We start from the raw sequence: 17,315 nt of genomic DNA on the forward strand, positions 1-17,315 counted from the left end.
AATGTTATTTTAAAAGCCCTAGAAGATAGTTATCTTTTCCTACCCCTCTTTCTGCAAAAATACAATTAAGTAAAAAGTTTTATTAATTAAGAATCCTCATTAAAGAAAGTTATATTAATCACTCAGATACTTGTTTGAAGCTCACTGTAATAAGATTTTGAACTTCATTATATAAAATTTTATTTCAAATAATGCTGCAAACTTCTTAGACATTCCAGTACAACTCCTTACTGAAAGATCTTTAAAAGTATTCAGCATTATCATTTTCCTTTATTGAGCCTAGAATGCAGTAGTTTTTTGTCTTTCCAAATATACCCTTAATAAAGTGCTTACAAGCTTTTCATAGCTGAAAACTACTTATTAGGGCAGTATTATTATTCCTAAAATTTTCCTGATTTTATTGTCTTGCCCCCATATTGTTCAAATTCAGTACAATTATTGCTCTAATTTGAGAGAAGCTGCCATTAGTTAAAGGGATTCCTTAGGTCACTGGGAATGTTTTGCCCTTCCTTTCTAAAAGAATAATTACATTTTCTACTTAATGAAAAGCTTGTGGTTAAAAAGCATCTCAAGTCGCAGCCAGGCAAAAACATGAAAGGAAGAGTCACTTACATGTATATGTGAGATCCCATATCTCTTTTATTTTAATTGCTAAACAAATTTTGCAAACTTGAAAAGGGCTAGTTTGACAGCCCTTGAGCAAAAGCCCTTTCTTATGAACGGTTAGAGCCTTAACCTATTGTAAAACAACATTAGACCAAAAAAGGGAGCAGCTGGTGGGGTTTCTTAGGAACAGGGTGTGAGAGTTAGGGAATGAAAAGTTACCTAGCAATTAAGGCGAATATCTTTGTTAAGGAGAGAGCACAGCACCCCTATTTTGCTTCCCATTTCTTCCCCTAAAGCCAGTAGAAATTGTTCTTATATTAGTTAAGCTAGGCTTGGAGATTAGGGCAGAAGTGTCCCCATCTGAGTTCAATCACCACTCCTTTCTCCCAGGATTTCTTGGAGAAAATGACAATTATTGATTTCTGTGCACAAAGGGCAGGCCACTCCCTGATGACAGTAAGGAAGTTTTGAGAATGTAATGGAGAATGTTCAAACAGTAGCTGGGATATTTCTAGCAGCAGCAGAAACAGGGAAGGCGGGGTGCTATGCAGATGAATGCTAGCTAGCAGAAGCCAAGAGGCCCAATACAGGGTTTGTCTGCTAATCACATTCAAACCAACACCTTGCCAGAAAGCCACGTCCCAAGCTCTCCAAATAATGCTTGCTTCAGGGGTCAATTTTTCCAAGAGCTTTCCATGAAAAGATTTTTAATGGAAATATAAGCTTCATCTGAGCAATAAGGGAAAAAAATGTAAATCTCTTCTCCACCTTGCACTCGCTTTTCCTGCTGTATTATAGGTAAAAGAAAAACTCATCAGAAATGACTCCACAGCCAGACTCTGACCTCCTCAGATCCTGCTCCCTCTAATCAGGCCACAGTTGACTGACAGTCAGGAAATAAACCCTTCTTTCAAGGTACAGCCAGAACAGGTTTACAGCAAATGACTAATATGATCTAATCTTCCAGCAATTTCGACAGTTTTCAATTCTGGAAGATTCATATACGTCTGTTTAACTTTCTGATTCTATCCTTCGACTGCTCATTGAATTATCCTTCAAGATTCAATCTTCTCAAATATTGCAACCTTTTTGTTATCAAACTCCAGTGTAATATCAGGGTCCACAATGTGCCCAAGTACTACAATATCCACCTGGGGGACATTGAAAAGCCAAAAGTCTAACAGCCAAAGCCTTGTTGGTAGGAGGAGTAGAAAACCACTTATCCAATTAGCAAATCCTCATTAAACTGCCACTAGGTGTGCTAGCCACTGTGCTAAGTGTTGTGGGTGGTACAATCATCAATTTCTGAGATGCCATTAACGTCCACTTGGCCAAAAATCTACCTCTCCCTCGAGCTCACTAATGCCTGAAATCCCTTTAATAAGGGACCAAGTCTTTAATTTCCATTCCTGTGAGAGAGAAAAAGTTTATTTAAATTCACAGAGTTGTAAATGACTAATATTAGGGCCACTCCCCAGACTGGATTGTAATAGGAAGGAAGAAAGAGAAGGAAGAGAGTAGGTAGTGCTGGAAGCCTGAAGGAAGAGGGAGTGTAGAGGAGGGGAGATAGTACAAAGAAAAAAGAGGGCAAAGCAAGGAGGCTGAGGGTTACAGAGACCAACATTGCCAACTCCACTATCTTACCAAAGGGCAATTCAGCATGAAACTTGAGTAAGCATCTATGGGGTCTAAAGAGGAAGAGGTCAAATGCAGCTGGTGCCAGCCAGGCTCTGCAAGAGTTTTACATTTTCTTTTGAATCTGGTAATAAAATACATCCCCAAAGGGTTCTGATTGAAATAAAAAAAAACATTGCTTCAAGTGTAAAGCAGAATTACTAATCTTAAAATTGCAAAGTGTATTAACATATAAATTATTATTCCTAAAAGCATTTCAAACTCACTGGTACAGGTGGATCATTTTCTCTGTCCCATTTCAACTATGTTTTACATTTGAAGCTCTATTTTAGACTCCACTATAAGGCCAGGTTTCAAATTACTTTTATTTACAATTTGATGCATGGAGCTCTGAAATTTCTTAACGTATAGTTCAAGCCTCAATCATCCTTATTTCTATCTTAATTTTCAGTGGGCTATGCAAGAAAGAGTTAATGTTTGCATATCAAGTAGGTTCTGCTCTGTGTGTGTGTGTGTGTAGAGGACAGGGTTATCCGTAATCTCACAGAGTGCATCTTTCAAATGGAGACATAAATGAAAGCATAGTCACAAGTCAAGGATGCCCACTTTCACCACTCTGATTCAATATAGTTCTGGAAGTTCTACCCAGAGAAATTAGGAAAGAGAAAGAAATAAAGGACATCCAATCTGGAAAAGAGGAAGTCAAATTGCTCCTCTTTGCAGTTGACATGATTTTATAAATAGAAAAACCTAAAGACTCCACTAAAAAACCCTTAAAACTAATAAACAAATTCAGGAAAGTTGCAGGATACAAAATGAACATACGAAAACCATACAAAAAACAGGCTCCTCACCCTGCCAAAGAGGAGACTAGCGATGGAGCTGACATTGCTGCTATCATGATGTCATTCCTCTGAGTAGGAGGTGCTGGGACTGTCACATTCAGCCAGTTTCTTGAAATTAGCATGCTCTTTTTGGTGTTTTTTTTTTTCAATGGGGTCTTTTAGAACCTTAGGATAGTTGATGAAAAGAATGCTTATGCTTATGTACAGCTGACAACAGGAATGATCTTTATGGGCTATATGGGAAAGAGACACTTCATATATAGAGAAGGACAATTTAAAGAAGGGGTTTCTTTCTATTTCTCATTTCTGTGACAGACAGTAATGTCTCTTCTGCTGGTAGCTTTCAGGGCAAGGAGGTTTGTGTAAGTTGTCATGAAATTCATTATCATACATTTATTCTCTAAAAATGCAATTGGAGCCACCCTTCATGTGTGCTACATTTAAAATAACTATTCTAAAAAACCTTATCCACATAAAGTACTAACAAGAACACCAAGATGGAAAAGAGACTTTTTTTCATTATTGGATCATATCTCAGAGCTGAGGACAATCACAATGCATAAGCCAAGTAGAGCAGAACACAGCCTTTTCAGGGGTGGCACAGTTACCTTTTCATTTGAGAATGCCCACCCCTAGCCAAAAGGCCTTACAAAGCAAGATTCACTTGACAAATCAGTTCACAATCCACCCAACTCACTCAGCTTTCGTGCTGCTTCAATATGCTGAAGAAATAGCAGAAATGTGTGTGTTAGACACAAAAAATTAGGTATAGAAGGAGCATACCTAAATACAGTAAAGGCCATATGTGGCAAAACCACAGCTAACATCATACTGAACAGGGAAAAGCTGAAAGCTTTTCCTCTAAGTACTGGAACAAGACAAGGATGCCCATTTCACCACTGTGATTCAATATAGTACTGGAAGTTCTAGCCAGAGAAATTAGGCAAGAGAAAGAAATAAAAGACATCCAAACTGGAAAAGAGGAAGTCAAATTGTCCCTCTTTGAAGTTGACATATTTTATACGTAGAAAAACCTAAAGACTCCACTAAAAAACCCTTAAGACTAATAAACAAATTCAGGAAAGTGGCAGGATACAAAATGAACATACAAAACCAGTAGCATTTATATACACTAACAATGAACTAGCTGAAAAAGAAATCAAGAAAGCAGTCCCATTTATAATAGCTACCAAAAAAGTGCAATACCTAGAAATAATTTAACCAAGGAGATCTTAACGTCATTAAAAGATCTTTACAATGAAAGCTATGAAACGCTGATGAAAGAAATTGAAAATAACACAAAAAACTGGAAAAACATCCATGTTTTTTAGCTAGGAGAATTAATGTTGTTAAAATGACCACACTACCAGTTGATCACGTGGCTAATGCCTGTAGTCCCAGCACTTTGGGAGGCGCAGGTGGGAAGATAACTTGAGCTCAGGAATTCCAATCCAGTCTGGGCAACATAGGGAGACCTCATCTCTACAAAAGCTTTAAAAATTAGTCAGCAGTGGTGGTGGGGCACACCTGTGATCCTAGCTACTCAGGAGGCTCAGTGGGGAGGATCATTTGAGCCTGGGAGGTCAAGGCTGCAGTGAGCTGTGATCATGCCACTGCACTCCAGCCTGGGTGACAGAGCAAGATCCTGTCTCAAAAAACAAAACAAAACAAAAAACATACTACCCAAAGCAATCTACAAATTCAATGCAATCTCTATCAAAATATTGATAACATTCTTCACAGACATAGAAAAAACAATCCTAAAATTCATATGTAACCACAAAAGACCCCAAATAGCTAAAACAATCCTGAGCAAAAAGAACAAAGCTGGGGGGAATCACACTACCTGACTTCATAATATACTACAAAGCTATAGTAACCCAAACAGCATGGTATTGGTATAAAAACAGACACATAGATCAACGAAATAGAATAGAGAACTCAGAAATAAATCCACATATTTACAACCAACTTATTTTCAGCATACATTGGGGAAAGAATAGTCTCTTCAATAAATTCTTCTGGAAAAAATGGATATGCACAGTATGCAGAAGAATTACACTAGATCTCTATCTCCCATAATATATATATAAATCAACCCAAAAATGGAACAAACACTTAAATGTAAAGTTCAAAACTATAAAACTACTAGAAGAAAATACAGGGGAAATGATTTATAACATTGATCTTGGCAAAGATTGTATAGCTAAGACTTCAAAATCACAGGCAACAAAAGCAAATATACACAAATAGGAATGTATTAAACTAAAAAGCTTCTGCATAGCAAACAATCGGCAAAGTGAAGAGACAACCCATTAAATGGGAGAAAATATTTGCAAACTTCAGTTGACAATGAGCTAATATCCAGAATATACAGGGAACTCAAACAACTCAACAGTAGAAAAACAAATAGTCCCAAAAGTGGACAAAGGATCTGATTAGCTCTTTCTCAAAAGAAGACATATAAATGATCAACAGGTATATGACAAAATGTTACACATCACTAATTAAATGGGAATTGCAAATTAAAATCACAATGATATATCATCTCATCCCAGTTAGAATGGCTATTACTAAAAAGACAAAAAATAACATGCTGGCAAGGATGTGGAGAAAAGGGAACTCTTATACACTGTTGGTGGGAATGTAAATTAGTACAGCCATTATAGAAAACAGTGTGGAGATTCTGCAACAAACTAAAAACCAAAGATAGAACCACCGTATGATCCAGCAATCCCACTACTCTGTATTTATCCAAAGGAAAGCACATGAGTATATTGAAAAGCTATCTGCATCCCCACGTTTATTGTAACACTATTCACAATAGCTAAGATACAGAATCAAACTAAGTGTCCATCAAGGGATGAATGGATAAAGACAATATGGTGTATATACATAATGGAATACTATTCAGCCATAAAAAATGAAACCATGTTATTCATGGCAACATGGATGAGCCTGGAAGACATTATATTAAGTGAAGTAAGTTAGGCACAGAAAGATAAATACTGCATGTTCTCACACATATATGGGCATTTAAAAAGTTGAGCTCATAGAAGTAGACAGCAGAATTGTGGTCACTAGAAGATGGAAAGAGTGGAAGTGGGGAGAGGAGGGAGGAGTTGGTTAATGGATAAAAAATTACAGCTAGATAGGAGGAATAAGTTCTAGTGTTCTATAGCACTGTAGACTGACAATAGTTAGCAATAATTTATTGTATGTTTTCAAATAGCTAGAAGACAGGATTGTGAATGTTCCCAACACAAAGAAATGATCAATGTTTCAGGTGATACATATGCTAATAACCCTGATTTAATCATTATACATTATAATACATGTATCAAAATATCACTATGTATCCCATAAATATGTACAATTATTATGTGTCAAATAAAAATCAAAGAAAAAATTTGAAAACAAACGTGGGAGTTAGTAAATTAGGGAACCAGGTCTGGCTCTGTCACTGATCAGTGTCATGACCTTAGTGGGTCTCAGATTTCCTATCTATACAGTGGAAGAAATGCCACTTGAACACAATAACACTTGAGCTTCCTGTTCCACGTAAGTTCAAATGTAGCAATGAATATTAAAGCAATTTGAAGGTATAAAATCCAATATGAATGAAAATTGAATTATTCTTTCCACTCCAGAGGAGAATGAGGTTCCACTGGGACAAAATAATGCCTAAATTTCTGCTCTGGAAAATATTCACAAGACCTTTTCTACTATTAAACTATGACTGTTGGGCTTTCGATCAATTATCAGTTCAGTTCTACCTCTAGTTCCCACTCTGTTCCAGGCTTTTTCTCTGTAAAGGTCTCCTATATACATCTCCCCAAGGATACTCTATTTTTTTCATATATCTAATGTTGCTATTGAGAAGTCTGAGATCAAACTGATTCTTATCTCTTTATACATATACTATTTGTTCTTTCAGGATGCTTTTAGAATTTTCTCTTTCATTCTCTTAATGTTCACTATAAAGTATCCAATATAGGTTTTCCTTTTTGCTCCTATTTAGCACTCTATGACTCTTTTCAAAATGAAGTTTTTTATTATTTTTCAATTCCAGAAAATTCATCTCCATTATTTTTTAAAACAATTAATTCTCTCCATTTTTATTTTCCCTATTTCTTAGACTCCTTTTATTTTATTTATTTATTTATTTATTATTATTATACTTTAAGTTTTAGGGTACATGTGCACAATGTGCAGGTTAGTTACATATGTATACATGTGCCATGCTGGTGCACTGCACCCACCAACTCGTCATCTAGCATTAGGTATATCTCCCAATGCTATCCCTCCCCCCCTCCCCCCACCCCACAACAGTCCCCAGAGTGTGATGATCCCCTTCCTGTGTCCATGTATTCTCATAGCTCAATTCCCACCTATGAGTGAGAATATGCGGTGTTTGGTTTTTTGTTCTTGCGATAGTTTACTGAGAATGGTGATTTCCAATTTCATCCATGTCCCTACAAAGGACATGAACTCATCATTTTTTATGGCTGCATAGTATTCCATGGTGTATATGTGCCACATTTTCTTAATCCAGTCTATCATTGTTGGACATTTGGGTTGGTTCCAAGTCTTTGCTATTGTGAATAATGCCGCAATAAACATACGTGTGCATGTGTCTTTATAGCAGCATGATTTATAGTCCTTTGGGTATATACCCAGTAATGGGATGGCTGGGTCAAATGGTATTTCTAGTTCTAGATCCCTGAGGAATCGCCACACTGACTTCCACAATGGTTGAACTAGTTTACAGTCCCACCAACAGTGTAAAAGTGTTCCTATTTCTCCACATCCTCTCCAGCACCTGTTGTTTCCTGACTTTTTAATGATTGCCATTCTAACTGGTGTGAGATGGTATCTCATTGTGGTTTTGATTTGCATTTCTCTGATGGCCAGTGATGGTGAGCATTTTTTCATGTGTTTTTTGGCTGCATAAATGTCTTCTTTTGAGAAGTGTCTGTTCATGTCCTTTGCCCACTTTTTGATGGGGTTGTTTGTTTTTTTCTTGTAAATTTGTTTGAGTTCATTGTAGATTCTGGATATTAGCCCTTTGTCAGATGAGTAGGTTGCGAAAATTTTCTCCCATTTTGTAGGTTGCCTGTTCACTCTGATGGTAGTTTCTTTTGCTGTGCAGAAGCTCTTTAGTTTAATTAGATCCCATTTGTCAATTTTGGCTTTTGTTGCCATTGCTTTTGGTGTTTTAGACATGACGTCCTTGCCCATGCCTATGTCCTGAATGGTAATGCCTAGGTTTTCTTCTAGGGTTTTTATGGTTTTAGGTCTAACGTTTAAGTCTTTGATCCATCTTGAATTGATTTTTGTATAAGGTGTAAGGAAGGGATCCAGTTTCAGCTTTCTACATATGCTAGCCAGTTTTCCCAGCACCATTTATTAAATAGGGAATCCTTTCCCCATTTCTTGTTTTTCTCAGGTTTGTCAAAGATCAGATAGTTGTAGACATGCAGCGTTATTTCTGAGGGCTCTGTTCTGTTCCATTGATCTATATCTCTGTTTTGGTACCAGTACCATGCTGTTTTGGTTACTGTAGCCTTGTAGTATAGTTTGAAGTCAGGTAGTGTGATGCCTCCAGCTTTGTTCTTTTGGCTCAGGATTGCCTTGGTGATGCGGGCTCTTTTTTGGTTCCATATGAACTTTAAAGTAGTTTTTTCCAATTCTGTGAAGAAAGTCATTGGTAGCTTGATGGGGACGGCATTGAATCTGTAAATTACCTTGGGCAGTATGGCCATTTTCACGATATTGATTCTTCCTACCCATGAGCATGAAATGTTCTTCCATTTGTTTGTATCCTCTTTTATTTCCTTGAGCAGTGGTTTGTAGTTCTCCTTGAAGAGGTCCTTCACATCCCTTGTAAGTTGGATTCCTAGGTATTTTATTCTCTTTGAAGCAATTGTGAATGGGAGTTCACTCATGATTTGGCTCTCTGTTTGTCTGTTGTTGGTGTATAATAATGCTTGTGATTTTTGTACATTGATTTTGTATCTTGAGACGACTCCTTTTATTTAATATTGTCACTTTTAGTTCCAACTTCCATATCCTTTAGCTTTTTTATGTATTTTTTCTATTTCCTTATTCTTCCCTGCTACCTTCTAAAAAAGTTCCTCAATTTTATCTTGAACTCACTAACTTGTTTTTTAGCTACATTTATCCAACTATTGATTCTACCAATTATATTTTTTTAGAGACAGGGTCTTGCTCTGTCACCCAGGCTGGAATGCAGTGGCATGATTATGGCTCGCTGCAGCCCCAACCTCCCAAGCTCAAGTTATTCTCCCACCTAAGCCTCCAGAGTAGCTGGGATTATAGGCGCACAACACCACACTTGATGAAAAAAAAAAAAAAAACTTCTCATTTTTTTGTAGAGATGGGGTCTCCCTATGTTGCTCAGGCTGGTCTCAAACTCCTGGCCTCAAGAAATCCTCCTGCCTTGGCCTCTCAAAGTGCTGGGATTGCAGGCATGAGCCACTGTGCCTGGACCCCAATTGTATTTTTTATTTCAATTATTATATTTTTTAAGACTAGAATTTCCACTTCTACGCATGACTGAAAAACTAGCACTGGACCTGCCCTCCTACCATAAGTAACTAGAAAACTGGACAAAATATAGGAAACAATTGCTTTCAGACAGTAGACAAAAGGGAGTGCAGAACTATGATCTTCGAGATAAAGGAAATAAATTATGTAATCTCTGTTATTGCCTAGCTTGCTGCTTGGAGGCAATTTCTGGACCACAGCATAAGGATGGAAAACCCAAGCAGAGCACAGTGATCTTGCTGATTTAGGAGACAGAGATCTGAGTCCAGGTAGGCCAAGACAGCTATAATTTGCGGGGCAGGGTATAAGAGAGGAGGGAGTTATGCAAAGAAAGAATTCCAAAATTTGGCATGGGGCTCCCTTGAGTCTTTGCTGAATACTGAGCTGTGCATACATAGAGTGAAACTCCCATGAGGATAGGCAAAGAACAACTGCTGAAGAGCTGTAAGCTGAACAATTCCCAGAGCTCAACCAGGACAGGGAAATGTTTGATTTCCAATCAGCCAGAGTGAAGAAATGTTGAGTACCCAGGAATTTGAGTTGAGACCCCAAAATGATCACGCATTCGTAGTAGGGCTATCCTAGTCCTAGACTAGAGTGAAAGCTACCCTAGACCTACTGTAACAAAGCTTATAAACAAGCCTTAAAAGTTTGAACCTGACATGAAAATGACTTAAATGCCTGCTAAACAAAACTCAACATTCTTTAAAGTAAGACAACAAAATTCAGGCACTCAACAACAAAACATTCACAATATCCAGCATCTAATTAAAACTACTAGACAAGCAAAGAAACAGGAAAATATGACCTATAAACAGAAAAAAAAATTAGATGACAGAAAAAAACAGAAAGTGTAGAATTAACAGACAAAAATTTAGAAAAGCTATTAAAATATGTTCAAGGGTTCAAAATAAAACATAAACATAATGAGGAAAGAAATGGAAATAATTTTAAAAGAACCAAATAAAACTACTAGAGCTAAAAATATATTTGAAATAGAAACTTTACTGATTAGGATTAACAACAGATTAGACACTGCAGAAAATGAGTAAACTTGAAGACATAGCAATAGAAAGTATCCAAATTGAAACACAAAAAGAAAAAAAGTATGAAAAAATGAGAACTAGAGCCTCAGTGATATGTGGGACAATATCAAGTGGTCTCACTCATATATAATTGAAGGCCCAGAATGGGGATTTAGAGAAAACATTTGAAGAAATAATGACTAAAATTTTCAAAATTTGATGATAACTATAAATCCACAGATTCAAAAAGTTCAACCAACTCCAAGCAGTATAAACACAAAGAGAACCACACCAAGGCACATCATAATCAAGCTGCTAAAAACTAATGACAAAGAAAGAATCTTGGCTGGGCGTGGTGGCTCATGCCTGTAATCCCAGCACTTTGGGAGGCTGAGGCGGGCGGATCACCTAAGGTCGGGAGTTGGAGACCAGCCTGACCAACATGCAGAAACCCCATCTCTACCAAAAATACAATATTAGCTGGGCGTGGTGGTGCATGCCTGTAATCCCAGCTACTCGGGAGGCTGAGTCAGGAGAATCGCTTGAACCCGGGAGGCAGAAGTTGCGGTGATCCGATTTCACGCCATTGCACTCCAGCCTGGGCAACAAGAGCGAAACTCTGTCTCAAAATAAAAAGTCTTAAATGCAGCCAAAGGAAAACAAAGAACAGTTTAGGTATAAGGGAACAAAGACAAGGATTAACCCTGACTTATCAGAAACAATGTAAACTGGAAAGCAATGGAGAGACATCAAAGTAGTGTGATGGTTAATACTGAGTGTCAACTTGCTTGGATTGAAGGATGCAAAGTATTGATCCTGGGTGTGTCTGTGAGGGTGTTGCCAAAGAAGATTGACATTTGAGTCAGTGGGCTGAGAAAGGCAGACCCACCCTTAATCTGGGTAGGCACCATCTAATCAGCTGCCAGCATGGCTAGAATATAAACCAGGCAGAAAAATGTGAAAAGATTATACTGGCCTAGCCTCCCAGCCTACATCTTTCTCCTGTGATGGATGCTTCCTGCCCTTGAACATTGGACTCCAAGTTCCTCAGTTTTGGGACTCTGACTGGTTCTCCTTGCTCCTCAGCTTGCAGACGGCCTATTGTGGGACCTTCTGATCATGTGAGTTAATACTTAATAAACTCCCCTTTATATACACACACATACACACACACACACACACACACACACACATATATATATGTCCTATTAGTTCTGTCCCTCTAGAGAACCCTGACTAATACAAGTAGTGAAAGGAAAAAAAAAAAAAACTGTTAACCTAGAATGCTATATCAAAGGAGGAAAAAACCTTCCAAAATAAAAGCTAATTACATACCTTGTCAGTCAAACCAAACCAAACCTGAGAGAATTTTTTGCCAGCAAACCTGCACAAAAAGAAATGTTATACCCAATGCCCAGATATTGGTTTCTAATTTCATTCTGCAACACAAGGGACCAGGGCTCCTCGGAGAAATGGCTGACTCTAGGACTGGGGCTATGAATATACAAGATGAGCCTGGAGCATTGCATAGTACCAGAAAGTAAGAAAATGCTAAAAAATAAAAATGATAGGGGTATGCCAAAGGGACACAGCAATCAACTGAAAGAGGTCCCAAAGACCAAAATTGGAACAATTTGAATAAGAAAATAAATAAAACTGTGTGGGATTATAACTAAAAATATAAAATAAATATTCATGAGTCCTTACTGATGTAAACAAATAATTTAGTAAACAAATAAATGAGGGAGAATAGAGAAACCTCCCATACAAAAGAATTATAAATAATTTATGTGGATACTTCCCTCTCAAGGAGGTAGAGCATAACTCCCCACTCCTGAAATGTGGTCTGTACATAATGACTTCCTTCCAAAGAGTACAGTATGAAAAAGAGAGGAAAAGAGCAACTTTATGGTGGAAAAACTTGAAAACTACTACCTCAGCCAAGGGATCAAGGTTGACATCACTAATAAGCAGTCATGCTGATATCATGTGCCACTGATATAATATGATGAGAATGGCACTTTACCTCTGTGGTCTTTTTTCCAAGAACATACAACCCCAGTCTAATCCTGAGGAAAACATCACACAAACCCAAATAGAGGACGTTTTACAAAATACCTAACCAGTAATCCTCAAAGCTGTCGACGTCACTAAAAACAAAGAAAGTCTGAGAAACTGCCACAGTCAAGAGGCGCCTAAGAAGACATGACAACTAAATGTAATGTGGTATCTTAGATATGACTCTGGGACAAAGAAAAAAGCAAACAAAAATACAGTATGGACTTTAGTTAATAAGAATGTAGCAATATTGTGGCCGGGCACAGTGGCTCACGCCTGTAATGCCAGCACTTTGGGAGGCCGAGGCGGGCAGATCACGAGGTCAGGAAATCAAGACCATCCTGGTTAACACGGTGAAACCCCGTCTCTACTAAAAAATACAAAATGTTAGCCGGGCATGGTGGCGGGCACCTGTAGTCCCAGCTACTCGGGAGGCTGAGGCAGGAGAATGGCGCGGACCCGGGAGGCGGAGCTTGCAGTGAGCCGAGATCGCGCCACTGTACTCCAGCCTGGGCGACAGAGCCAGACTCTGTCTCAAAAAAAAAAAAAAAAAAATTAAAAAACGAACGTAGCAATATTGATTACTTAGTTGTATAAACGAAAAGGTATCTGAGACAGGTCTCAATTAATTTAGAAGTTTATTTAGCCAAGGTTAAGGTCACGTGCCTGGGATACAGGTCTGTGCCATTCTCCAAAGATGATTTTGAGGGCTTCAATATTTAAAGGTAGAAAGCAGCTTGGAGGAGAAAGAGGGAGGGTGTGGTTACATTACTGAATCCATATGTTACAAAAAGGGAGCAGGTAGGGGAATAGTAAATTATGTATTCATCTCACGCTCACTATAAGATAAGGTGAACATGGAGTAGCTACCTATGGAGATATTTAACTTTTTATCTGTACCTATCTGTATAGGAATAAACGGAAAAGCAGCTTCTTGCATGACTCAGCCTTCAGCTTATTTCCTTTTCTTTTGGCTTAGTGAATTGGGGTCCCAAGTTTGTATTTTCCTTTCACATTTGTAACAAATGTACCATACTAATGTAAGATATTGACAATATGGGAAACAGGATGCAGGGTATAAGCTACTGTATCTAATTTTGTGTGTGTGTGTGTGTGTGTGTGTGTGTGTGTGTGTGTGTGTATATATATATTTTTTTTTTTTTTTTTTTGAGACAGAGTCTCGCTCTGTCGCCCAGGCTGGAGTGCAGTGGCGCGATCTCGGCTCACTGCAAGCTCCGCCTCCCGGGTTTACGCCATTCTCCTGCCTCAGCTTCCGGAGTAGCTGGGACTACGGGTGCCCACCACCATGCCCGGCTAATTTTTTTTGTATTTTTAGTAGAGACGGTGTTTCACTGTGTTAGCCAGGATGGTCTTGATCTCCTGACCTCGTGATCCGCCCACCTCGGCCTCCCGAAGTGCTGGGATTACAGGCGTGAGCCAACGCGCCCGGCCTAATAACGTATATTGTAAAAGGACTAATGGCCATGCCCTAGTCTAGTCCTAATAAAGAGTTCCAGACATCACAGAACCACTGTTAGTCCTATTTCCTGGCACCTTATGAAGCAATTCCTCTGGTCAGTCACTCCTCTGGTCAAGCAATTCATCAGACCTAGGAGTACGGGTGGGGTGAAGGAATCAACGCCAGAGTAGTTGGTTATCTATCCCCATGCTCATCAACTCCTTACCCCAGCAGGACTTTGGGGTGGCCCACCTACACAGGCATTCTGGACTACTGCAATTGATTATTGCAGTGATTGAAGCAAGCAGTAATCATTTCAAGGCCACACAGGAATGAGAGGCAGGAATGAGGAGAAGCAGGAATAGAGTTCAGAAAGTTTTCCTCTGTCCTATCTTATCACTGCTGCCTCTGGATCCTCTGCACCAAGCGACAGTCACCCAACTTTCTACACACACCAGGTCAAGGCAGCATGAAGTATCCCCAGAGGTTTCTCACAGTGCTATTGCTTTTGCTGCTGATACTGCTGTTTCTAGAATCTATGTTTCTCTCCAGCTTCTACAGTTTCTTCAGAGTTCATTTTGGGGAGGGAAACAGCAACTCCTTTATCAGGAATTGTAAATATCACTCTTATTAGATGATGCTTACTCTGTGCACAGAACTTTACTTGCCTTATGTCATTTGATCCTTTCAACAACTCTATGAAGTACATGCTATTGTTATACCATGTACATATGAGGAAACTGCAGCACAAAAACGTTAAGCAACATGCACGAGATCACACAGCTGTAAGAGATGGAAATAAAATTTAAACCCATTCAGTCTTAATTTAGAGAACACGATCTTTGTTCATCATCAGATACCCAGTGATTAGCAGATTGTGAGTACTCAAAAAGATTTGTTGAATATTTGTCCAATAATGAACGAATGGATGGATGGTAAAAAAATTACACTATCAGACCGGGCACGGTGGCTCACGCCTGTAATCTCAGCACTTTGGGAGGCTGAGGTGGGTGGATCACTAAGTCAACATATAGAGACCATCCTGGCCAACATGGTGAAACCCCGTCTTTACTAAAAATACAAAAAATTAGCTGAGCGTGGTGGCATGCACCTCTAGTCCCAGCTACTCTGAAGGCTGAGGCAGGAGAATCACTTGAACCCAGGAGGCGGAGGTTGCAGTGAGCCAAGATCATGCCACTGCACTCCAGCCTGGCAACAGAGCAAGACTCCATCTCAAAAAAAAAGAAAAAATACACTACTAGCTTCACCAGCAATCTTATTCCTCATGTTTTCCTCTGTTTGATTGCCTTAGTATCTCAAAAATATACTATGAGGCCAGTCTATGTATCTGCATAGTGCATTCTACTTTTAGTTTTTACCATTTAAAGAAACACATTTGCATTTCTAATAAATAGAAACACTTGCCTTTTGATTTTTCTGAGGCAACAGAGGTGACAAATTCTCATTACCAGAGCTCTATCTCAAAAGCTGGCTTGTTTGCTCACTTTGATTCCTCATGGAAGTAGATTCTTCAAAAGAAAGAATGTAAATGGCCATCAAACATACAGCAAAGATGCTCAGACTCAACAATTATGAATGAAATATATATTAAAAGAATGCCAAAATACCATTATTCAAACTGGCAAAAATTAAAGCACTGAAATACCCAGTATAGGTAAGGGTTCTAGGAAACAGACTTTCTTATACATTGATTTGTTCTTTGGAGTTTAAGTTGGTACAGCCTTTTTAAAAGAAAATTTGATAAATTCTAACATTGAAATGTGCAGACATGTTGACTCAAGATTTTCATTTCTAGAAAATTTATGCTACACAAAAGCTTCTGTTGTACAAACATATCTGTTGTAGCATAATGTGTATAAAAACTGGAATAAGTGAAATTTCTGTTAATGAGAGAATGGTTACATAGATTAAGACAATGGAATACTATGGGGTCATAGAATGAGAGAAACCTATATGTATTTACATGGAAAAGCATCCATGATATTGACCAATGAAAAGTACAGAAGAGCCTATAAAATATTATTCAATGTTTATAAGCCAAAACTAATTTATATATGTCTGAATATATACATTTTTGATATGCATATGAAAATTCTGAAGTTATTCCAATCTATCAATAATAGTTACCTCTGGGGAGTAAGATTAATGGCATGGTGGATCCTCACTTCTGTAACACTGAAATTTCTTCACAACGTAATAGCTCTTTTGTAATTTTTAAACATGTATATCTGGAAGCAAAGAAAGAAAAAAGGAAGGAAGGAGGACTAACATTTGCTTAGAATCCTCACTAAGATCAAAAAGAACTACATTTGAAAAATAGCCAGGAATCATAAGGCCTTTGTTTTATTTGATGTCTTCTAGACTTGAGCTTATAGGGAAAGCTCTCTAGGCCATTGAGCACAAAGGTTCTTGTAAAGAGCTCAATCCCTCCTAACAGAAAACTCGTGTGGTTTTATGTTGTCATGCTAGTGATTAGGGCATCCCACACCCCTTGGGGAGAGAAGAAAGTGTGACAATTGCTTTAGCCCTTGAAAGAAAAATGGATTTAAATGCAAAAGGAAAATTTTCTCATTTTTTCTTATGTTAATTATTTGAATATATACATATACATGTACATATACATGTATGTATGTATCAGCAGGAACTATCTTCCCTCAGCCACACATGAGAATGTATCCCCAGTTGTCAGAGGTTGCTGGCCAGATCCTTGCTATTCCCAGTGTCTAAAGTTAGGCAGATAAGGGGCCGTGCAAAGTTATACTGAGAATCTGAACAGATGAATGATCCAAACACTGAAAGAAGAGAAAAGGCCAGGGTTCTGGTGGAGGGTTGAAGAGGCAGCCTCTTTTTGCCTCCAACTCCAGACTATGTGACCATCTCATTGTTAGACCTATGTTTCTCATAATATGTCTTGAGGGAAAAAAGTCTAATCTCATCTTAAAGACGAGTATCCTTCTTGGTAAGACTATAATAGTGTATTCAGTCAGCACCCTGACCTTTCTTGCCTTCACCTAGCTGAAATGTGTAGTTGTATAATTAACCAGAAACCAATTAATTTATGCAACTCTTTACCATCACTTTCATTTTCATAATGAA

The 17,315-nt window shown here is 38.3% G+C and overlaps 2 annotated features.

The window, feature by feature from the left end:
- Positions 603–1,104: an enhancer, noted in NCBI's record as "H3K27ac-H3K4me1 hESC enhancer chrX:99749275-99749776 (GRCh37/hg19 assembly coordinates)". NCBI's record gives its function as "activates a minimal SCP1, AML or CMV promoter by ChIP-STARR-seq in naive H9 embryonic stem cells {active_cell/tissue: H9 hESC(naive)}" and the evidence as "EXISTENCE:reporter gene assay evidence [ECO:0000049][PMID:30033119]".
- Positions 1,105–1,604: an enhancer, noted in NCBI's record as "H3K27ac-H3K4me1 hESC enhancer chrX:99749777-99750276 (GRCh37/hg19 assembly coordinates)". NCBI's record gives its function as "activates a minimal SCP1, AML or CMV promoter by ChIP-STARR-seq in naive H9 embryonic stem cells {active_cell/tissue: H9 hESC(naive)}" and the evidence as "EXISTENCE:reporter gene assay evidence [ECO:0000049][PMID:30033119]".

Source organism: Homo sapiens, chromosome X, assembly GCF_000001405.40.
Source record: "Homo sapiens chromosome X, GRCh38.p14 Primary Assembly".
In the NCBI taxonomy this organism is placed as follows: domain Eukaryota; kingdom Metazoa; phylum Chordata; class Mammalia; order Primates; family Hominidae; genus Homo; species Homo sapiens.